This window comes from Homo sapiens, chromosome 1, assembly GCF_000001405.40.
Source record: "Homo sapiens chromosome 1, GRCh38.p14 Primary Assembly".
Classification (NCBI taxonomy): Eukaryota; Metazoa; Chordata; class Mammalia; order Primates; family Hominidae; genus Homo; species Homo sapiens.
Genome location: NC_000001.11, coordinates 16853982 through 16876500, shown reverse-complemented (window position 1 = coordinate 16876500; position 22519 = coordinate 16853982). Strand labels below are relative to the sequence as shown.

The following is a 22519-nucleotide window of genomic DNA, read 5'->3' as shown; positions in this document are numbered from 1 at the left end:
GTTAAAGGAGTCCTCCAGGCAGAAGGAAACTGACACCAGATGAAAATCTGGATGAAAAAAAAAAGACACTAGAAATGACATGTACATAGGCAAATATATAATTTTAACATCTGACTGTTTAGCCGGGCACGATGGCTCACGCCTGGAATCCCAGCACTTTGGGATTCAAGGAAGGTGGATCACTTGAGGTCAGGAGTTTGAGACCATCCTGGCCAATATGGTGAACCTTCCTCTCTACTAAAAATTCAGAAATTAGTCCGATATGGTGGCCCAAGCCTGTAGTCTCTGCTACTCAGGAGTCTGAGTCAGGAGAATCGCTTGAACCCGGAAAGCAGAGGTTGCAGTGAGCCAAGACTGTGCCACTGCACTCCAGCCTGTCCGATAGAGTGAGACTCGTCTTAAAAACACCACCACCAGCAACAAAAAAACAAAAATAAACAAACAAACAAAAACACATCTGACTCTTGAAACAAAAGTAATAGAGATGGATTGTAAGGTTTATAACAGGTGTAAAGTAAAATGCATGACAATAGCATAAAGGCAGGGGGAGGAGTCATGGGAAGAGGTATGATGCCACTTGAAGGCAGACTGTGATGGGTTAATTTTTGTGGAAAGCAAGGCAGAATTTTTGAAGTTTGTTCCTTCAAATACTTTCCGTTTCCCGTACATACAAGCTAGTTTGTTCTGCAGAGATCTCATTTTCTAGGAGGCTTGGAGGGGGACCTTCTGCTGTCTGTCCTCATGGGATGCACAAGACACAAGGGAACAGTCTTTCACTTTTAAATACATTGAAGGGTCTGAGGAGATAGATACAACTGCATTTTTTTTTTTTTAAATGAGGTGGGATTCTCACTGGTCTTGAACTTCTGAGCTCCGTGGAGGCTTCCCCTACTTCAGCCTATCAAAGCGTTGGGATTAATAGACGTGAGGCACTGCGCCTGGTCACAACCAACATTTAAAATCACGTCCCTGGGTGGTCTCTAACCACCAACCTTATGGTTAACAGCCGAACGCGCTAACCGATTGCACCACAGAGACAACCTCAATCGCTTGCTTTCATCTCTATATAGATTAAGCAATCACTAAACCCTAGGAGTTGCCATTCGCTTTCTGCGGGACAACTGTGCAGACTACAAAGCTTCAGAAAACCGGAGAGGCTGAGTCGACTAATCGTCTTGCTGCACGTTAGAAACGCGTGCATTGCGTGACTCTGAAGCCAGAAGGGCGGCCGAATGGCCTTCACCCTGCGTTCACCCTCGCCTGCTTCAGAAGCCAGTGCCTCTGGAAATGCCTGGATCTGCGACCCCAGCCTGAGCCAAGTAGGGCCCAAGGGAAGCTGAACTCCCCGACGGCTCTCACGGTAGCTCTTTCTGTTCTTTTGCGCCGCCTTCAGGCAATCATCTGTTCCGCTTGCTCTCCCTTCACTCAACTCGGCTTCAGTAGATGGGGTCGGTGGGGCGGGAGCGGGAAAGAGGCAGGGGAGTCAAAAGGGAAAACGTGACAAGGAGGAGGGAGAAGCAGGGGAGACCAGGACTAGACAATGGGACAGCCCAGGATGCCCGTGCAGAGGGCACCGGCTGGATGCAGAGAAGATGGGACATGTATCAGAATGGAGAGGGGGAAATGGGGAGAAGATGTGAGAGAAAATCACAAGAACCTGTAGCTGCCCAAGAATAAAGAAGTAAAAATCGCATAATGTTTTTACATTAATAAAAAAAATCGGGGGACCAGGGGCGGTGGCTCACGCCTGTAATCCCAGCACTTTGGGAGGCCGAGGTGGGTGGATCACTCACTTGAAGTCAGGAGTTCGAGACCAGCCGGGCCAACATGGTGAAAGCTCGTCTCTACCACAAATACAAAAATTAGCTGGGCGTGGTGGTGCACGTTTGTAGTCTCAGCTACTTAGGAGGCTGAGGCAGGAGAATCGCTTGAACCTAAGAGGCGGAGGTAGCAGTGAGCCGAGATCGTGCCGCTGCCCTCCAGCCTGGGCGACAAAGCGAAATTCTGTCTCTCAAAAAAATATACAAATAAATAATAGAGGGGTGGGGAAGCAAAACGACGGGCAGTAGGTGTGGGGCGCCTTGGGATTCTCTAGTGGTTAGTAGTCTGCGTTGTGCCTGCAGCAACCTCTGTTCTAATCGGAATCCTGGTACAGTCAGACTCTATCTTGGACCCACTGGGGCGAACCCACGTGTCTTTTGGTTTGCTTTTGATTCCTGCACCAGCTGAGGCCTTTATCTGCAGCCAGAAAGCCGGAAAGCAGGGTTTACCCCTGGCCCCACAGCGCCATACTGTCTGGGGAAAAGAAGGAAACCCAAGAGTACACAAACAGTGGCCCAAAGAGAAACCTTCCAAGTGCTCTATGCCTCACCGTTTAGCAGAAAATATCAAGCAACTCTCAATCTAGCTGGTCTGTACCTTCCACGAATGAAATAATGTATTTATTGCAGTCTTTCTGGTTGAGATATTTCAAATATTTGGTGGAGCTTTTACTGAGAGAGAGAGACACTCTCGAGTGTGGAAGAAAAAAAAGAGGGGATGTGAAGATGAGGCGACTTTAGGACAGAAAAAAAAAGAGACAAGGAAGCCATGTAAACGTTTTCGGGTGGGCGTGAGGCGTTGTCAGTCTTGAACCCCGTTATGTCAGGTAAAGAGCGCAGCCTCTTCTAGCACAAACACCGTTTCCCACATGGAGGAAATCACAGGGATCAGCAACTCTAGAGTGAGATGAAGAAGCTTCACTCTGGGAGAACCCCCTTCGTGACCACGGTCTCTCCCCTGCCAGGTAAGTGGAAATGAGCACATGGCCTGCAGGGACAGCACAGCCTCCTCGCCCTGGCCGGTCGCTCAGGGTCACCACCCTCCCCACTGCCGCCCCTCGCCATTCTTCCAAACCACTCTCCACCAAAGATTCCACCGACAGTCACCCCACAAGACAACCCAGGCCGCCTCTCAGCAGCGGCTCCCGCCCCGCAGCCACCGCGCCCTCTCACCCCCCCGCGGTTCTGCCCGCCGCCGCTGCCGAGTCTGCGCACTTCACCTCCCTGGCTCCCGCTCTCCCCTGAGCTTACAATGGACTCGGGGTTCTTCCGAACCCCTCTTGGGAGTACTGAATGGAAAAGGGGGAGCGTGCGCAAGTGCTTGGTAGAGTGTAGACGTCGTGGGATTTGACTGTGGTACCATCGCTTCGACGTCCTAGTGCTGATTTTTCCACCTGCCTTCTGCTTAGGGCACCGGCAGCAGTTTTCCATCTGTGCCTACTCCACCTGCTGTCCTTGTTGGGTCAGCGAACATCGCCTCCGTCTACCGCTCAATCAGCAAACGGGACCGCCCTCGAGGACCTCACCCGCCGCTTACCCCCCTAACAAATTCGCGGGCATCGCCTCCGGTCGCCTCTTCCCAAGGCCTAACGAGCGCCTTCGCTGGCAACGGAGGTGAGGAGGCTCCGCTGACTGGCTGGTGCCCGTGTCCGGGGCTGCCACAAACGCCACGACTTGGCTTGGCCTCTCTCTTAGTTATTCGCAGCTCAGCCCGATGGGCGTCTCCGGGGTGGCGACGGGAAAGAAGGTGGGCTTATTGGGTGCAGCTCCACGGGGGCTGGCATCTTTGCCGGGCTGTGTACACCGGAGCGAGACGCTCAGTCGCTCTCTAAAGCTGCTCCCGCGGATGACGGACACTGAGATAAACAGGAACGGTGTGTCGTGAGAGGTGGTCCACCAGCACTTGCCCTCCTTCGCCCGGCTTTAACCCCGCTGCGGAGACTGTTCTGCTTCTGGCCCTTGGAGCAGGCCGGCTGACAGCGTAGTGAAGGAAGATTCCTGCGGGAGGGCGGCCAGTGTAAAACAATTCCCTGGCCGGGAATCGAACCCGGGCCGCGGCGGTGAAAGCGCCGAATCCTAGCCACTAGACCACCAGGGACACACAGGAGGGAGCTTTGTCTCCCTTCTTCTGTCAGAAGCGACAGCTTCCCTGAGCTCTGGGAGGACTTGGGCCTTGTGAGGGTCGCTCTTTGCTCCTGGAGTCTCTCACAAGGCCATTCCCTCCCTGCTTTCTTCAAAAAAAGAGCCTGCAAGCGACACACCGAGGGCTCCGCGAGGGACACCGAGGCCACGAGTCCGGAGGCCTGGAGCGAGTTGCAGCGACCCGGCCGCAGCTCACCACTGAACTAGAGATGCGCCTTTGCGAGGTGGCAGCAAGTGACCAGCCGGTCGTGGGTCGCCAGGTCCGGAGCCGCGCACCAGGTTGCCAGGAGGAGGCGGGAGCGCGGAGGCGCCCAGGGTGAGACGGGGGCACCCTCTGCATCATAAAGGACCCAGACGCCAGCACCCTCAACATCATAAGGAATCAGACGGATGCGGAAACCGAGACGGGCTGGATGGGAAACTCTTTCCAGGAAGGCTCCGGGGCCCTCAGCTGGTCTCCGACCTTCCCCTGCAACCTGTGACACCTGCCATTTTCCCATCTTAGGCGATGGCAAAGCCACCCTTCCGTTTGCTCCGGGCAAAACTTCGAGAGTTCCCTCTGACTCTGGAGTTTTTTCCTCAGATCCAAGAGCCAACTGGTCATCAATTCGTAATTTCCCATCGGCTAAGTGCGTGGGCATTGAGCTACACGAGAGTCTCTCCACCTCTGCGGAATGGCTACTTCGGGGTAGGGGAGGGGCCCTCCCGTGGATTGTAAGGTGTTTAGCAGCAGCCGTCGCCTCTGCTGACTAGATACATGCCAGGGGGTTAGCATTCTCCCTCCCCGCTTCCCCCATTCGTGACCTAGTGTCCCAGCGTGGAGGTGAGAGGCGTGTAAGGGCGAAGTTGCCCCCTCTTGAGAACCACTGATGCGCGTTGTCCTGCTGTCTGAGCTTGTGCAGAGGACTCTCCAGATGAAGGCTCAGGGGTCCATCCAGCTTGAGACCCCCTCGCTCCCCCGCACAGTCAGACCTTAGGATTGGAGGCTTTTAACATCTCTACATCATGAGATTCGAAACCTTTAGGTCTTTTCTTCCGTTCTGTCCTCCAAATCAGCCTCTTCCGAGCCTGTTGACCAGGGCCAGCCAGGCAGAGGGCTGGGTTCGCTCAACGAGGCTCCTCTCGGCCCTCCTGGAGCTTCAGGCCTCTTTCGGTTGCAGAGAAGCTTTATGGGCCACTTCCTTCGGCATCCCCGGGGGCAGGTGCGCGGTGCCCGGGGAAGAAGAGGGTTTGACTGCGGTTCTCGACCCCCGGCGACCAACCTCCACCCCGGTGGGCGCGCTCTTCCAGGCTCCTGCTGGTCCCACTGGCCGGGAGTCAGGTCTCGGGTCAGCCTGAGCTCCAGAGACGCCCAGGCCCGGAAGGACACGTAGGGGAAACCAGCTGCTCACTTTGGTCTTGTCCGCAACGGACCTCTTGCTGCCAGGAAAGAAAGGCGTCGAGTCCTGTCCTGTTGGGTAGGCGGAAGAGCGATCAAAGGGAAGACAAGAAATATCCTGGGAGGTTTCAGGATCTAAAGTTACCATGAAGTCAACCTAACCTCCTCTGGAGGTCCTCCCAGTCCTCCCGTGGCTGGCGATGGTGAATCGAGTTTCCGTCTCCAGTTTGCCAAGGCAGACAAAGCCGACACAATGGGCCTGTCCACTATCTTCTTTCATATACACAAAATGTCAGCTCTTCCTGTTTCTAACTGGCAACATCCCGCCTGATGACCAGCTTAGCAAATTAGAGACTCTCCATGGGATTCCATCTGTGTCTTAGTTCGGGCTTCTCTAACACTGTACCATACATAAACTGGGTGGCTGATTCACAACAGAAATTGATTTCTCACAGTTCCGGAGGTTGGAAGTCCGAGATCAAGGTGCCGACATGGTAGGTTTATGGTGAGGGCCTTTTGTTCTGGTTGTAGACTGCCACCTCCTCATTGTATCCTCAGGGGGCAGAAAGAGGGCGAGAGAGCTCCCCGAGGTCCCTTTTATAAGGGCATTAGTCCCATTCAGACTAATGGGACTAAATCCAGACTCTGTGCTGAGTGTTGTGGATTTTTTGCATGTTCATCCTCCCCGCAGGCAACTGGAGATGTATTGTCCCCAGAGGGTACAATAGAGAATCTTCCGTCACAAGTCAGCAACCAGCATATGTGAGTGACAGCATGTGTCCCACTCAGAAATGAGAGTGTATTAGTCCGTTTTCACGCTGCTGACAAATACATAACATAGTCCGGGACGAAAAAGAGGTTTAATTGGACTTACATTTCCATATGACTGGGGAGGCCTCAGAATCATGGCGGGAGGCAAAAGGCACTTCTTACAAGGCAGCAGCAAGAGAAAATGAGGAAGAAGCCAAAGCAGAAACCCCTGAGAAACCCAGCAGATAGTGAGACTTATTCACTATCAGGAGAATAGCACAGGAAAGACCCGCCCCCATGATTCAATTACCTCCTCCTAGGTCCCTCCCACAACACATGGGAATTCTGGGAGATACAATTCAAGTTGAGATTTGGGTGAGGGCACGGCCAAACCATGTCAGAAAGGGATGAAGTGACAGCATATCCTGATGTGTGTGATGGTTTTATGAGTTATTACCTATTTCAAAAATTATTGCAATGTGTAAAAAAGAACAAGGACTTGTACTATCTGACTTTAAGGTTTACTATAAGCTATTACAGACGAGGCATCAGGAGTGACAAATAGATAAACAGACTGAGTTAAGAGACTTGAAACTGATCCACAGCTATACGGTCAATAAATGGGTTTTCAATAAAAGCAGTTCAATAAAAGAAAATAAATCATTTCAATTAATGGACTTTTATATGAATGTGGGGAGACCAACAATGTTATTCTCCCTCACACTACACACAAAAGTAATTTCAGGTACATTACACACCAAAACGTAAAAGTTAAAGATATAAAGCATTTCAAGGATAGTTTGTGACTTGTTGGTAGGCAAAGATCACCCTACCAACAAGCAGGACACAAAAAATACATATATAAGAAAGACATGATAAATGAGACTTCATCAACATTAGCCACACCTTCTCATCAAAAGATACCACTAAGAAAGTGAAAAGGCAAGCAAGTCACAGACAGAGAGAAAATAGCCACAAAACGTGTCTGACCTCCACACCCTGCAGTTATAATTATAGTGGTCTGGTACACTGCACGCAGTTTCTGCTGAATGGAGTATTTTCTGGGTGTCTCTAATGAGTAAGAGAGGGCCCCATGGGATATTCCTTCAGTTCCCAGGTGAACAGTGGGAAAGACTCCACGTTGACCAACCTCGGGGGCCTAAAAATCCAGGTCCTATAGGAGGGTAGAGTATACCTGGACCCTGACCCAGACCCCTGGATGGGCTGTGCCAAGAGACCCAGCAAGGGAAGGGATTTCCTCCTGCCTCAAGTTCTCTGTCCTTCTGTGGTTAGACGACCTGAACCCAACTCCCTCCCCAAGCACTGGAGATGGGCTTTTCCAAGGGCTGGGGATCTTGCTGTCCTGAGAACAGCTGAGCAAGGGGGTCAAGGAGGAGCTTGGGTGGTGGAGGAGAGGAAACCGGGTAAGATGCATGAAGCCGTTGGCTATACCAGGCACAGAGAGGACCCACTGGGACCCAACGGCCTGCATGTGAAGCCAGGCCTTGGGCCACCTCGTTCCTCAAAGGGGTGCTGACTTCCATGGGGTGTTCAAAGGGACTGTGGAAAGAGAGGCCTTCAGCCCACACCTCTGAATGCTTTTCGACCACAGCATGCCCTGTGGCCTTTATCCTGCTGGTGTGGAACAGTCAGAGCCCTGCAGGGCTGCAGAGCTTCTGTACTGGGCGGCATCCCAGCCTGAGTGTCAGAGCTCAGAGAGCAGGCACCGGAGCAAGTAGAGAGGAGGGCACCTTTGGACACAATGTGTGGGACAAGAGCGACGGCTCATCCATTCAGGTTCCTCAGAAAATGAGAGTCAGGAAGATGAGGGCGCAGACCTGATTCCCTACACAGGGCTGAAAGCAGACAACCGGAGGAAGAGCAGCACCTGGGCCAATGAGGTAGAAGACAGAAGACCACAGTGTACTCCTGCCCTCAATCTCACCCCTTCCCACCCACATCCTCCACGCCCCCTGATCACCTTCCTCAGAAGTGTAATAGGAATCCAGATTCCCCCTGGCCTGGTTGCTGCGGGAGGCACAGTGGCCTGATGGAGCCTGAGGCAGGTGTGGGAAGATGTGGATTGTCTAACTGGAGGTTGGGAGTTCAGGGTGAGGAAGGAGAAGCTTGGAGTGCAGGATTTGGTGGTATGTATGTGGCTGTAGGCAAAAGAAAGAGACAACTATGCCACTTGAAATACCATGAGAATTCAAATTTAGAAAATTCCCAGGGAAGTATGCATGCAGGCACTCATGAGATCCAAAAAACAGCTGCTGCTTAACTGCGTGTTGCAAGCAAGCCCTAAATTGCTGATTTTGAAACAGCCTGATGGGTTCACAAAGACAATTTCTGAATAGTCTTAAGAGCAGAGGTGCACTAAAGCCACTGTGCCCCGCAGCTCAGGATCCCAGAAAGTTCTTTAAGGAGTAAGTCTTACTTCCATTTATGGAAGATTTTTGGAGTTGTCCTTAGTCACCCCCAAAAATGTTTTGGTTAGGAGTAGAATTTTAGATGTCATCAATTTAAAAATTAAAACTGAAACTCTGGAACTCATAGAGAGATAAAATTAAGAGAATCCATTCACATCCTGAGTAGAAAGATTTTTATAGAACATGACGGGCTTTAAAAATAAAGAAAAAATATGGCAAAATTTCATCAAATTAAATGCTTTCAGAACTAAAATTAAAATCTGAAGCCACCCAACTAGCTGGACAGATGGCTTCTTTGCCAAGGAGACCCCAGAGAAGTCTTAAATACTGAGTTCCTGGCCAGTACTTGGAAGCTCAGACACCTCTCCTTATACTCTCTCCCTTTGTGGTTTAGACACAACTGACCAGCATTATTGTTAAAATAGAGATCCTAAGACTGACAGAACAGACTCCTTGCAGTAGTAAGATATGGTATGATAAACGAGACCTAAGGCCACGCCAGGCAAGGTGGAGTCATGCACCCCTCAACTTAAAGAATAAACTATGTTCCAATTGCCACAGGTTTTTTTCTTCTTCCTTTTTTTCTCTAGCTAAACAAGCACTGGCCTTGAGATAAGCAATGCTGAAGCACTTGCAGCTCACCCATTACCATAAACTGACTGAGCCCTCCCTACACAAGCCATAACTACAGCTTTGATTGGACAAGAGACTGATTTCAGTAACTTCCCCTTGATAAGAGAGCACTGGCTGTGGACGGGTTCTGGACGTTTTACAGAGGCTGTGCACTTGACTGCCTTTGTGTCCCTGCTTCCCCTTTTGAAGCATAGGGACTAATTATAATGTATTTAAATGTCATCTCCACCCCAAAGTGAACATGGGTTGCATGTAACAGGCTTGTTTACTCAGCATGCATGCAGCACGATCCCTTCATGAATATTCAGAGCTCCTCCTATTCCCTGTTGAATATGCATATGTGGCCCACCAGATCAACATAAATCCCTGTTCCCCCCTCCCCTCCCTGGAAACCTACTTTTCGGTTTCAGCAGGAGGGTATGCCTCCCAGTCTGTGGGAATGGCCACCTTGCAGGCTGTAACCATTTATAAAAAATAAAATCTCCCTTCTAAATTTATAAATTGTGTGATTTTTCAGTTGACAGCTTTCAGTCAGACTTTTCACTGACTGGGAAAATTCATTTGCAATATATTTATTTTAAAAATGACTCCTCAGCATACAAAATTCTTGTGCAAAGATCACAAGCATTCTTATACACCAATAACAGACAAACAGAGAGCCAAATCATGAGGGAACTCCCATTCACAATTGCTTCAAAGAGAATAAAATACCTAGGAATCCAACTTACAAGGGATGTGAAGGACCTCTTCAAGGAGAACTACAAAACACTGCTCAACAAAATAAAAGAGGATACAAACAAATGGAAGAACATTCCACGCTCATGGGTAGGAAGAATCACTATCAGGAAAATGGTCATACTGCCCAAGGTAATTTATAGATTCCATGCCATCCCCATCAAGCTACCAATGACTTTCTTCACAGAATTGGAAAAAACTACTTTAAAGTTCATATGGAACCAAAAAAGAGCCCGCATTGCCATGTCAATCCTAAGCCAAAAGAACAAAGCTGGAGGCATCACGCTACCTGACTTCAAACTATACTACAAGGCTACAGTAACCAAAACAGCATGGTACTGGTACCAAAACAGAGATATAGACCAATGGAGGAGAACAGAGCCCTCAGAAATAATGCCACACATCTACAACTATCTGATCTTTGACAAACCTGACAAAAACAAGAAATGGGGAAAGGATTCCCTATTTAATAAATGGTGCTGGGAAAACTGGCTAGCCATATGTTGAAAGCTGAAACTGGATCCTTTCCTTACACCTTATACAAAAATTAATTCAAGATGGATTAAAGACTTAAATGTCAGACCTAAAACCATAAAAAGCCTAGAAGAAAACCTAGGCAATACCATTCAGGACATAGGCATGGGCAAGGACTTCATGTCTAAAAGAGCAAAAGCAATGGCAACAAAAGCCAAAATTGACAAATGGGATCTAATTAAACTTAAGAGCTTCTGTGCAGCAAAAGAAACTATCATCACAGTGAACAGGCAACCTACAGAATGGGAGAAAATTTTTGCAATCTACTCATCTGTAGATTCATCAGAATCTACAAAGAACACAAACAAATTTGCAAGAAAACAACAAAGAACCCCATCAACAAGTGGGCGAAGGATATGAACAGACACTTCTCAGAAGACATTTATGCAGCCAAAAGACACATGAAAAAATCCTCATCATCAGCGGCCATCAGGGAAATGCAAATCAAAACCACAATGAGATACCATCTCACACCAGTTAGAATGGCGATCATCAAAAAGTCAGGAAGCAACAGGTGCTGGAGAGGATGTGGAGAAATAGGAACACTTTTACACTGTTGGTGGGACTGTAAACTAGTTCAACCGTTGTGGAAGTCAGTATGGTGATTCCTCAGGGATCTAGAACTAGAAATACCATTTGACCCAGCCATCCCATTACTGGGTATATAAATCATGCTGCTAAAAGCCAAATGATTATAAATAAATTATATATTTATTTGATTTATATGATTATAAATAAATGATTATTATAAATGATTATAAATGCCAAAGGATTATAAATCATGCTGCTATAAAGACACATGCACACGTATGTTTATTGCGGCACTATTCACAATAGCATAGACTTGGAACCAACCCAAATGTCCAACAATGATAGACTAGATGAAGAAAATGTGGCACATATACACCATGGAATACTATGCAGCCATAAAAATTGATGAGTTCATGTCCTTTGTAGGGACATGGATGAAGCTGGAAACCATCGTTCTCAGCAAACTATCGCAAGGACAAAAAACCAAGAACTGCATGTTCTCACTCATAGGTGGGAATTGAACAATGAGAACACTTGGACACAGGAAGGGGAACATCACACACCAGGGCCTGTTGTGGGGTGGGGGGAGGGGGGAGGGATAGCATCAGGAGATATACCTAATGTAAGTGACGAGTTAATGGGTGCAGCACATCAACATGGCACATGTATACATATGTAACAAACCTGCACGTTGTGCACATGTACCCTAAAACTTAAAGTATAATAAAAAAAGTCAAAAAAAAAGACTCAATTCTTGAATATACAAGAGAACTTTTGTAAATCAGTAATATAGAGCTAAGCCAAATAAAATAGGGCAAAATATTTGAATAGGCCTTTGCAAAGGAGAGTTTCTTATATGCTGGAAGCCACAAGAAAGTATGCTTCATAGGATTGCTCATTAGGCAAATACAAATTAATTCCACACTGAGATAGCACTAACTACTCACCAGTGTATGGCTACTTTTTTTTTTTTTTTTTCTGAGACAGGGTCTCATTCTGTCACCCAAGCTGGAGTGCAATGCTGTGATCTTGACTCACTGCAACATCCCCCTCCGGAGTAGCTGGGACTACAGGTGCATGCCACCATGCCCGGCTAATTTTTGTATTTTGAGTAGAGACAGGGTTTCGCCATGTTGGCCAGATTGGTCTGAGAGCATAGCTACATTTAACAAAGTTCGTACACCAAATGCTGACAAGAATTTGGTGCCACTTCAACTGTCATCGCTGGTGAAAAAACATTCTAGAAGACTGGCAATTTATACTGATGTTAAACTTATACTCAGGTCATGACCCAGCAATTGAAGGACTTCCATGAATCTCAAGTGCACACAAAGACTGTTATAAGAATATTCAGCACAAGAAATCAATAACCCCAAAATTGAGAAGTGATCTATGAAACTACATGGATATATCTCATGAGTATAATGAATGTAACTGCAGAAAAAAGGCCAGACACAAAACATGTACATTCACTCATGTGAACTTTAAGAACAGGCAATTGTAACCTGTGGGAATAGACATCAGAATAGTGATAACTAAGAGGACACAGGGTGGGAATCACCTGGACAGGGGCTCTAACAGGCCTTTCTCAGATGATGGCAATTTTCTATAACTTGAGCTGGGTGGTGATAACATTGATCAAAACTAAACAAATTGCACTAAAGATTTGTGCACTTTATGTGAACTGTAGTTTCTTTACTGTTCTCATTGCTTGAACCTGGGAGACAGAGGTTGCAGTGAGCCGAGATTGAGCCATGACACTCCAGCCTGGGTGACAGAACAAGACTACGTCTCAAAAATAATGATAATAGTAATAATTTACTGTTCTCATAAAAATTAGCAGATGGGGAATGGAGGCAAGCCGGTGCAGACCATGACAACTAGTTTAGATTTTATTGTCAGCTCATTAAAAACTCGTTCTCGTTTTGTGTTTTTAAAAAATTCCACTGATACAGCCGTTTTCTCTACCAGAAAAGACTATAACCGCATTATTTCATCAGTGGAAGCTACAGACAAAGGGCCCTTGAGAGGCAGCATCTTCACCTACGGGAATTTTTCCTGCTCAATTGTGAGACAAAGAGCATGTCCAAGTTTTCCTATCGGCCAGGCCGCCCCCTAGTTTCTGCGCTGTGGGCTAAACTCCAGAAGCTGGCGCCCTTCGGGGCCAGAGGTTTACTCTGCTCTCTGGAGGCTGCTAGGATTAAAGGCAAAGCAAACGACAGGTCTATTAGCCACAATCGCAGGCTAGAAAACACTACTGTGACTCAGATTAGAACCCAGGTTGTGGCAACCACAACTACAAGTATTAACCACTACACGACCACAAAGCCTGCTGACAAGCATTGCACTTCTTCTATTTTTTGAATGTAAAAACACTCACACTATTTTATCTGCTTTATTCTTGGACGTCCGCAGATTTTCGTGCTTTTCTGTCTTTCATGCGCTTCTCCCTTTCTCTCCCCATTCTGCTACATAATTAAATAAAAAATCTCATCTCTCAGGATCCGGCCACTGCCTCTACAACAAGCCTCCTGGGAGGTCTCTTTGTCCCATTGACATCTCTGCCTTCTTTCGCTCCTTTTTTTTTTTCTTTTTTTTTTTGACGGAGTCTCGCTCTGTCGCCCAGGCTGGACTGCAGTAGCGCGATCTTGGCTCACTGCAACCTCCGCCTCCTGAGTTCAAGCGATTCTCCTGCCTCAGCCTCCCAAGTAGCCGGAATAGCAGGTGCATGCCACCACATTTGGCTAATTTTTGTATTTTTAGTAGAGACGGGATTTCTCCATGTTAGCCAGGCTGGTCTTGAACTCTTGACCTCAAGCGATCCATCCGCCTCGGCCTCACAAAGCGCTGGGATTACAGGCGTGAGCCACCGTGCCCGGCCAAATTTCAGGCCAACACCTGTTGACACACATTGCCAGACACACGGAATTTCTCGGGGAACACCGATGGGCCCACAAAACACGCGGAGGCCGCGGTCGCTGACGATGTTAGCAAATTCGGTTCACGGTGTCTGGGGTACAGCCCTGAGGGTCTACTGGCCACCTCTGCGCAAGGACCAGTCTCCGCCGCTCCCCTCATCTCCACGCAGACTCTTGCCCACACACCACCCCTTTCTTTGGGCCGCTGACGCCTCTTGGACCTCTGAGGTGACTGTCCTGCCCGCAGCTTCTCTCCTTCCAAGAGCGTCATTTCTTGATCCTCTCCATAGTGGCTCAACGGTAAGCCCAAGGTCCAGCACGCGAATCAGGAACCTGATGGTTCTTCGGGTTTGCAGGGATCCTTCCAGTGAATAGATGAAAGTCACAGGTACCAGTATGAAAACTGCAGTGACTCACCGGAAACACTTCATGCTTGTCAGCTTGCTAAGCTGTTTGAGTCCAACAACTGCATGGGGTCCTGAGTTAGTCTCCTGAATGTCTCCTGCCGCTACTTTCGTGAGTGTTGTCGTCACTTTACCTTGTGGTGGCCAAGCCCCTAAATGCACTATTAGGTTATGCAGTATGATTTTCAGCGTAAAAGACAGATAAAGAGCAACAGCGGGGTGAAAAAGACCCTTTTGCATTGGCCGGGAATTGAACCCGGGTCTCCCGCGTGGGAGGCGAGAATTCTACCACTGAACCACCAATGCCTCTGCGTAACTACCGCCTGGAGGATAACAGAAAAGAGTATCCACAAAGACTTAGAAACCGTTCCAAGCGGTTTTTTCAAGTGTCGACTAAAAGCTAACAAAGACATCCAAACCAAATGTGTTTTTACAGGAAACTTTTACTAGACAACGTTATAAATATCAAAATAGCTCATTTGTCGGATCAAACTCTTAACTCTGAAAAAGGTCCTTCTTTCTACCTGCATTACAAACCCCTATAATAAAACATCAGAAATTCATTCACGTTTCTTTTTTCTAATCCTAAATCTTCCATCGTCAACCTCAAACTGCTGCCTTAGAGGTTCTAAGAAGGTAACCTAACTGGTAGTTTAGGTAAGTAAAGTTCAAATCCAGGGAGGAAATCAGTAGCAGAAGCAGAATTAGAAGAAAGAGGAAATAAAAGGACAGAACCAAGGTAGAGAAAATGAAGAAATAAAGGTTGGTCCACTAAGTTAGTCTTTTGTCGCTGGTTTTTTTGGCAAAAGAGTAACGATCAGTCTCGTAATCATTATAATACTATTATTTGTCTGCTTGAAGATGTATAAAGCATTTGAAGGAAATGTGATATGAAAAGATGAAGAACGCTTGCCGTCAATGTTTCATTGTTTGGGAGAATCCCATTTCCTAAGTTAATATGCTTTGATGTATTAGCTATGTAAGGAGTAGACTAGTTTAAGGAAATATTGACGGTCAAATATTAGCATATTAGTCTTTTGATGAAGTTCAAATAGTAGAGAGATTTCTTTCCTCAATTTTCTCTGGAAACATTCAACTGAAGAGACAAATCCAGAGTTTTCTCCATATGTTGGGTCTGGGAGTCATTATGACTTTTTCAAAGACAGGAGCTGTGACATGGAATCATGCTTCTTCTCTAGCTGAGAAGCCAAGCTAGGTCCAGGCTGCGTCATAAACTTGAGCCCACCAAGGAAATCACCCTTCACATTGACCTCGCAGAGCTTTGGCTGTTCTCTGTTCTTTGCCCAACACCCAAGACACAAACCAGCTCTGGCCAACAAACCTTAACATATGATCTATATCCACCAGAGCTATATTTATTCCCAAATCTCCTTCTAAAATACAAACCTGTACTTTCTACTCTTAACTTCTAAATTTACAAAGGCCTCATATGCATCTCAGAGTCACAGATGCTAAAACTTAACCGGTTTTCTGAGGATTATTTGGGGAAGGGGTATGCATGCAAATGTATACACATAATTCATGTGATTTAGGAATATTGACTCTATGACTTCCAGATGCAGATTTAGAACCTTTTTAAAAAATATTTTGTTTTTGTTGTCTTGCAAATCAGCCAGATCTGCAACTTACCAGAGTAAAGCGAAGCCAAGCGGGACCCTTAGGAAATGCACTAAGATGTCATCCACTTTCAGTGTCAGCCTGTGAAAATACAGGCGATAGAAGAGAATGAAGAGAACCTGAAGGAATTTCTGGAACCAAAGCTAATATTAAGCAGGCCTCTTGCTGGCAGACCAGTGGAAACTGTAGCCTGGTCAACGATCTGTCTAGATTGAGGAGGTCTAAAGTGTAGCCACAGGTTCAACTACTTTTCTGTTTGTTTCCCAACCTCGATTAAACTCACTAAATTTAGGGACAAAAAAACAAAACAAAACACGATGTTCCCACGCAGTCTCGAACCAGAGACCTTTCATATGTGAAGCGAACATAATAACCACTACACCACAGAAACTGCATATACACCAAAAAAGGCAAAATATCATCATGAAAATCTTAGGTCAGCCATTTCTATTATCGTTTCCAAAGTAAGAAATTCAACTGCATTTCGAAATTCGACTGAAAAAAGCCCAATAAGCACCAGCCATCAAGAAGACTATGGCTCCCAATAGGCCCAGGCTTAGCGTTCCGCGCCCACCCCCAACACGAAAACCATGGGGACCCACACCCGGGCTTCGGGGACACATACCCGGGCTTCGGGCTCCCGCATCCTCCCCTGGGTATGCAGTTCCAGAACTAAGCGCCGTGTGCGGGATCCTCCCGGCTGACACTCTTCGGCTCCCAGAAGCTGCAGGAGCCGGCGGGCTTTGAGCGTCCGAGCCCTGGGCGCCCCGTGCCTCTCAGGAGGGTGGACGCCGCCCTTCCAGGGATGCGGACCCCGCCTCGGGGCCTTTTCCCCGGCGCCGGCCGTCGGGGCTCTTGGCTCTTCTCGTCCTCCCAGGAACCGTAGGACTCTCCTTGCCCTCCCTCCCGTAGGCCGAGGGGCGCGAGCTGCGCCTGTTTCCTCACGGACCCTTTGGCCTCAGCGCCTCGACGTCTTGCAATTGTTAGCTCACGGCTCTTCCTCCTATAACAAGGCCCTTCCATGTCATGTCCCCTACTCCCTCTTAGCACCAGAGAGATGCCGCCCCTGCCCCACAGGTCACATTCCATGAGTGGTGAAGTTTCTAGAGTTGTAACCATGGCATCTCCAGCCCTGTGTGTTCCTCTCCATGCTCCCCATTGAGCAGTCTTGATCCTGTATTAGCCCCAGGAAATGAAATAGAAACAGGACCCTACGTTAAAAAGTTGCAGTGGAGATGTGGTGGCCACCAGGGGCTGGAACTGTGGGGTGACTGAGAGTATCCAAAGCCCTGTGGCCAACCTACTGGTGCTGAGTGTGCTGGTGAGCCTCTCTGTCAGCTGGCTTCCCCGGGCCAGTTGCTCCCGGAAGCTCTGTCCCAGGTAGTAGTCAATGTCATTGCTCCTTAAGAGATCCTCAAAAGATTTTACTGTATCTTTTGCATGCTGGGTGAGAAGATAACAAACACCTCTCCCTTCTCGTATTTTTTGCCGTAGGTAAGACAGTTCCCGGGGCTGATCCTGAATCAGGGAATCATATTTCCTAATGCAGGACAGAAGAGGAAAGGGTGGATGATAAGTTATGGGGCTTCTGTAGAGATTTCTATGAGAACATCTCTAAGGAACTCCCCCAAACTGAATTCTGGCACGTAAGCCATAGGAGGTATTTAAGAGTAAATTCTACCCTGATAAATTATTGCACTAAAAATTTAGTATGGGCCGGGCGTGGTGACTGACGCCTGTAATCCCAGCACTTTGGGAGGCTGAGGCAGGCAGATCACAAGGTCAGAAGTTCGAGACCAGCCTGGCCAATATGGTGAAACCCCCTCCTCTACTAAAAACACACAAAAAAACTAGCTGGGCATGGTGGCACATGCCTGTAATCCCAGCTACTTGGGAGGCTGAGGGAGGAGAATTGCTTGAACCTGGGAGGGAGAGGTTGCAGTGAGCCGAGATGGCACCACTGCACTCCAGCCTGGGTGACAGAGTGAGACTCTGTATCAAAACAAAACAAAACAAAAAATTTACCATGCCACTGTTCTTCAACTGTTCTATATATGTTAATTATATGTCCCTAGATAAATCGTAAGGTCTGTGAGAATGAAGATAGTTCTGCGTTTCACATCCCTTACAGCACCAGCATCACAGAGATTCACAGCAGATACTCAATGAATAATTAGACTCATCTCATCCTAAGTCTAGATAGGACCTTTCATGTCTTCTGTTTTAACCACCACCTGATGTCTGAATTTCTTCTGTGTTGTGATACTGTGGCTGACTGTATTTTGCAATCATGGCCATCACATAAACTCTCATGCCATCAACTGATGAGACCCAAAACAAGAGACCCTAAGTGAGAGCCACCCAGCTGAGCCCAGTCAAACCACAGAACCATGAAGCATAATAAAGTACTGTTTGAAGTCACTAAGTTTTAGAGTGGTTCTTACTTAGCAGTAGATAACCAGGACGCATACCAAGATGAATGTCTGTGTTTTCAACACAAAGTGTCAATAACACTGATAACTATGGCAAATAGCATTGAGAGCTTAATGTATGCTGGGCACCATTCTAAGCACTTGTACTAATTTTTTTTTTTTTTTGAGACAGAGTCTTGCTCTGTCACCCAGGCTGGGGTGCAGTGGTACCATCTCGGCTCACTGCATCCTCCACTTCCCAGGTTCAAGCGATTCTCCTGCCTCAGCCTCCTGAGTAGCTGGGATTACAGGGGTGCACCACCATGCCCACCTAATTTTTATATTTTTAGTAGAGACAGGGTTTCACCATGTTGGGTAGCCTGGTCTCGAACTCCTGACCTCGGGTGTTCTGCCCACCTCAGCCTCCCAAAATGTTGGGATTACAGGCATGAGCCACCACACCTGGCCAGCACTTGTATTAATTCATTTAAACCTAATATCCACCCTTTGAGATGGGTTCTGTTATCATCCTCATTTAATAGGTAATGACAAAGGCTCAGAAAGGTTAAGAAGGTTGCATGGGTAGTAAGCATCAGAGCTAGGCAGTCTGATTCCAGTATTACCACTATACTATGCTATACTATACTATACTATACTATACTATACTATACTATACTATACCATATGTACTATTACTTTACTGATATATCCCTAAGAGGAAATCCCTGAGATCTGGTATCTCCCAGATACTGGGACATCATCCTATGCCCTCCTGCTTGCCTACCTGTCTTTTCCACAGACCTATATCTACCATTTAAATCAGTGTCCTTGTGAATACCCAGACATGTTGTTTCTTCCAACTGCCTGAGCTACCCTACACCAAGCACAAACTTACACATTTTCAATCCAGAAAGTGCCCAGACAGTGCCATCCTTACCCAGGCCATGAGGCTGATCTCAGCTCCTCAGCCAGCTTCCCTTCTAGTCAATTTTTTGGGAGCTGGGCCTCCAGCTGGGATACTCTCTGGATGAGACTCTTCAGGTCCTTTTTGGCCTGAAGTCCTGGAGAGTAGAAAGCCCCAGTGCCATCAGACAGCCACACCTCATCCTCATCAGTGACACTATGAGGTGAAGACCCCTCCAGGGTGTCAGGAGCTCTCAGCTTCCAGGGTCTTTCCAGACTAGATGAATAATCACTTGTAACTGAGAGGGACTGGACCTGGCTCTTGAAGTTTTGAATGACCTTGTTGGCATTCTGCAGCTGGGCCTTCAGATCTTTGATGTCCTTTCATAGGACCCAGATGTTTTCTGACTTTCCATATACCCAGAACTCTTCCTGCTTCCCTAGTTCATTCTCCAAGGGCTTCCTCTCAGAGGAACTAGCCAGCGTTCAGCCCCGGCGCCCCTGCTCAGAGCACAGCCCCTCCACCAGGACCATTTCCTTGCGGCTGCTGTGCTCCTCATGCTCTGAAAAAAGACAAAGATGTCTTCCTGAATAAAAGTTGGATGTGCTGTTGTGGCCACTGCCTTTGAGAGGAGGCAGGTTTGGTCATGAGGATAATAATTACTAGGGAAAAAGGTGAAGTCGTACTTTATTCAACCCTGACACTGTACTAGGCATTCAAATACAGTATTTCTTATCCTCCTTATACCCACAAGTTAGGTTTCACCACTCTCTATTTTACTGACTGGGGAAACCAAAACTTAAAGAGAGGTGGTAAACCAGCTTGTTCTAGATCACTCAAACTAGCACGTGGCAGAGCCTGAATTCAAATCCTCCAACATCCTGTGTTCATTCCACACACACTGATGTTTCTCAAGACATTATTAACATGGCCTTATCTAGTTAGGATAGCCACAAGAATGTAGGACAAGCTATTTCTGCATGCTGCAAGTTTAATGCTCTCTAAAGTTTACTATAATTTAAAAGTTTATTGGGTTATAACTGTGTGAAAAATAGGCAAAGGAAAATAAGAGTTTGAATAAATATATCAGCATGTTAACATCAGTGTATTGGGGCAGTGGTAGTCAGAATGAGAACTAATCCACAGCATTTTACCCGATGCCAGACACTGTTCTAAAGCATTTTATAAGAATTTACTCATTTAATTGACATTAGTACCTGATGGGGTAGGTAGTTCCTTTATTACTATTTTAACATTTGAAGAAACTGGAGCATAGGAAAGTTTACAAATTGGGATTTGAAGCAACAAGTCTGACCCCAGGATCTTTTCTCTTAACTGCCACAGTACACTTCCTCAAGAATGAGAGAGACTGTGTTTTTCTTCTCTTCTCGTTTTGAATGTGGTGGGTGGCCCTATAGTTGTAGTCCTTTTATAATGCAAACCAAAATTATTTTTAACTTATGGTTTGCATGTTTCCAAAACCTCATGTGGTCTCTAAGTAGGCCTTAGTATTTCTATAATAATCAGTTGGATAGAACTTCATATGATTATTATTATTATTAGCAGTATGCCACAAACTCATTGTAGAAATTCAAACTTATACTCAGCCTCATTTTGGGTAAGAGTTCTCCTATTAACCTCCTGTCCTCCTCTTCCCCACTACTTGTCAGGTGTGGAATTGGCCAACAGCACCCAAATGTGACAGCTGACTCCAGGGAGGGAAGGTGAGCCCCACACCCTGTGCTCTTACCGGGACTGGTGGATTCCTCCTGTTCAGCCTCATTCTTGCTTTGACCACAAGTCTCATAGCCCAGGTCGTGGAGGTCCACCTGGACCTGCTTGCTGTCCTGCTTCAGCAAGGGTTCACCTGCGTGGGAAGAGACAGCAGGTGTTACAGAATGTCTGAATTTCCCACATATGCCCTGAGCCCCAATGGCACATACCCTAACCTTGTGGGGCAGGGAGGGCAGATCCACAGTGCGAGAGAAGCTTCTTTGAACTGGTGGGAGAAGAGACCACCAGCTCCAGGAAGCAGAATTTCTTTCCACAGGAGGAGCCTGCATTTGCCATTGATAATCTCCCCTTCAGATAACCTAGGCCTTAGTTGGGACAAGGTATCTGTAAGTCAGGGATTGTGTACTCTCATCTCTAGCAGACCCACTGAAGCTGGCAAGTGCTTTATCAGCAGGGGTTCAATAAATGTTGAATGTAAAACATGGCTGATTACTTTTTATTTTCAATCCAACAAATCTCCATTTCTGGTGAGAAAATCTTGCCATAACCAACCAAGCAAATGCATAAAAGTATATCAAAAAGAAAATGAAAGCTTCCCTGCCTCCCAATCCCACTTGCTTGGTGTCAGCTATTATTTATTACATGGAGGAAGGGGGCGAGGCACCCAGGAAGGCCCAAGTCCTGTTCTGACAATCATCTGGCCTCCCTGGGCAAAGGGAAAAGAGGGAAGGCAAAAAGAATATAACATTACTGTTTGCAGAAATTTCCCCTTGGTACAGGAAACTCTGGTAAACTGAGAGAGTATGTTTTCCATGAGGGAGGCCTCAAGGGCTCTTCTCTGGCCCTAAGCCCAAACTGGATTTTGCCTCATTTTCTAAGATGCAAAGGAAATGGTAAAAGTTGATCAAAGGAGAGGGCAGAGAAAGAAAGAGGACGACTCCTCCATCTCAGGTCCACCTTCCTCGGTGTTGCTTGAGGGATCAGAGGAAATACATGAACAGAGGTGCGTGGGAACTACGGCTGCTCTGTGAACTCAGTGCCCTCCAGTTACGAGCTATTGTGAGGTTCCATGATGTAATGGTGAGCGCTTTGGACTCTGAGTACGGTGATCAGCGTTCAAGTCTCAGTGGGACCTTTCTGTATAATGCCAATGATATTCCTATTGCTCCCTAAGCGGAATGGGGGAAATTGCCCCAGTCATGGTCACCCACCGTCCAGGCCACTGGCTGTGTGCAATTGGAGTCCTAGACCCAGCGACCCAGCAAGACCCCTCCCCTCTCAGGGTGACCCTGGGCCTCCAGGTGACAGGTCTCCTCCACTGAAAAGGCTGCCTCCCCTCAATCCTAGACCCTGAGTTTTCTTTTATACATGTCATTGGGCCATTGCCCTGTGTCTCTTTGGAAGAAATGACCTATATGAAAAACTTTACTTCCGGGATTCCCTAATTCCTTCATCCCTTAGGACGGCGCGGTTTTTCAGCTCCTGGTCTTGGCTCCAGTTCTAATGCACACGTTTCATTTTATTGTCATGGGATCCCCTCCAACAGGCTACCACTGGA

General features: G+C 47.1%; 1 long non-coding RNA gene, 3 other non-coding genes and 4 pseudogenes across 5 annotated transcripts, besides 6 other annotated features; 2 read left to right on the top strand and 6 right to left on the bottom strand.

Moving 5' to 3' along the window:
• Nucleotides 724-1286: an enhancer, noted in NCBI's record as "H3K27ac-H3K4me1 hESC enhancer chr1:17201710-17202272 (GRCh37/hg19 assembly coordinates)". NCBI's record gives its function as "activates a minimal SCP1, AML or CMV promoter by ChIP-STARR-seq in primed H9 embryonic stem cells {active_cell/tissue: H9 hESC(primed)}" and the evidence as "EXISTENCE:reporter gene assay evidence [ECO:0000049][PMID:30033119]".
• Nucleotides 1287-1850: an enhancer, noted in NCBI's record as "H3K27ac-H3K4me1 hESC enhancer chr1:17201146-17201709 (GRCh37/hg19 assembly coordinates)". NCBI's record gives its function as "activates a minimal SCP1, AML or CMV promoter by ChIP-STARR-seq in primed H9 embryonic stem cells {active_cell/tissue: H9 hESC(primed)}" and the evidence as "EXISTENCE:reporter gene assay evidence [ECO:0000049][PMID:30033119]".
• Nucleotides 1292-1450: a silencer, noted in NCBI's record as "fragment chr1:17201546-17201704 (GRCh37/hg19 assembly coordinates)". NCBI's record gives its function as "represses an EF-1alpha promoter that drives an FKBP-Casp9 reporter gene in an ReSE screen in phorbol 12-myristate 13-acetate-treated (for megakaryocytic differentiation) K562 erythroleukemia cells {active_cell/tissue: K562(+PMA)}" and the evidence as "EXISTENCE:reporter gene assay evidence [ECO:0000049][PMID:32094911]".
• Nucleotides 2405-4275, bottom strand: LINC03126 (long intergenic non-protein coding RNA 3126). 2 transcript variants are annotated; one of them, NR_160658.1, is made up of 2 exons: nucleotides 3358-4275; nucleotides 2405-2778 (listed from the first exon to the last, which is right to left on the bottom strand). It is a non-coding gene; the product is annotated as a long intergenic non-protein coding RNA 3126 (long non-coding RNA). The 2 variants fall into 2 exon arrangements; NR_160657.1 differs by having other exon boundaries at nucleotides 2405-2717.
• Nucleotides 2650-2793, bottom strand: RNU1-5P (RNA, U1 small nuclear 5, pseudogene; annotated as a pseudogene).
• On the top strand, nucleotides 3171-9273 carry LOC124903860 (putative protein FAM231BP; annotated as a pseudogene).
• Nucleotides 3847-3918, bottom strand: TRE-TTC3-1 (tRNA-Glu (anticodon TTC) 3-1). Its single transcript has one exon. It is a non-coding gene; the product is annotated as a tRNA-Glu (tRNA).
• Nucleotides 4059-4895: an enhancer, noted in NCBI's record as "H3K4me1 hESC enhancer chr1:17198101-17198937 (GRCh37/hg19 assembly coordinates)". NCBI's record gives its function as "activates a minimal SCP1, AML or CMV promoter by ChIP-STARR-seq in primed H9 embryonic stem cells {active_cell/tissue: H9 hESC(primed)}" and the evidence as "EXISTENCE:reporter gene assay evidence [ECO:0000049][PMID:30033119]".
• Nucleotides 4896-5733: an enhancer, noted in NCBI's record as "H3K4me1 hESC enhancer chr1:17197263-17198100 (GRCh37/hg19 assembly coordinates)". NCBI's record gives its function as "activates a minimal SCP1, AML or CMV promoter by ChIP-STARR-seq in primed H9 embryonic stem cells {active_cell/tissue: H9 hESC(primed)}" and the evidence as "EXISTENCE:reporter gene assay evidence [ECO:0000049][PMID:30033119]".
• Nucleotides 9215-9814: an enhancer, noted in NCBI's record as "OCT4 hESC enhancer chr1:17193182-17193781 (GRCh37/hg19 assembly coordinates)". NCBI's record gives its function as "activates a minimal SCP1, AML or CMV promoter by ChIP-STARR-seq in primed H9 embryonic stem cells {active_cell/tissue: H9 hESC(primed)}" and the evidence as "EXISTENCE:reporter gene assay evidence [ECO:0000049][PMID:30033119]".
• TRG-CCC1-2 (tRNA-Gly (anticodon CCC) 1-2) lies at nucleotides 14510-14580 on the bottom strand. The gene has a single exon. It is a non-coding gene; the product is annotated as a tRNA-Gly (tRNA).
• Nucleotides 16231-16303, bottom strand: TRV-CAC11-2 (tRNA-Val (anticodon CAC) 11-2; annotated as a pseudogene).
• Nucleotides 17217-19790, bottom strand: PDE4DIPP9 (PDE4DIP pseudogene 9; annotated as a pseudogene).
• Nucleotides 17480-17552, top strand: MIR3675 (microRNA 3675). The gene has a single exon (NR_037446.1). It is a non-coding gene; the product is annotated as a microRNA 3675 (primary transcript).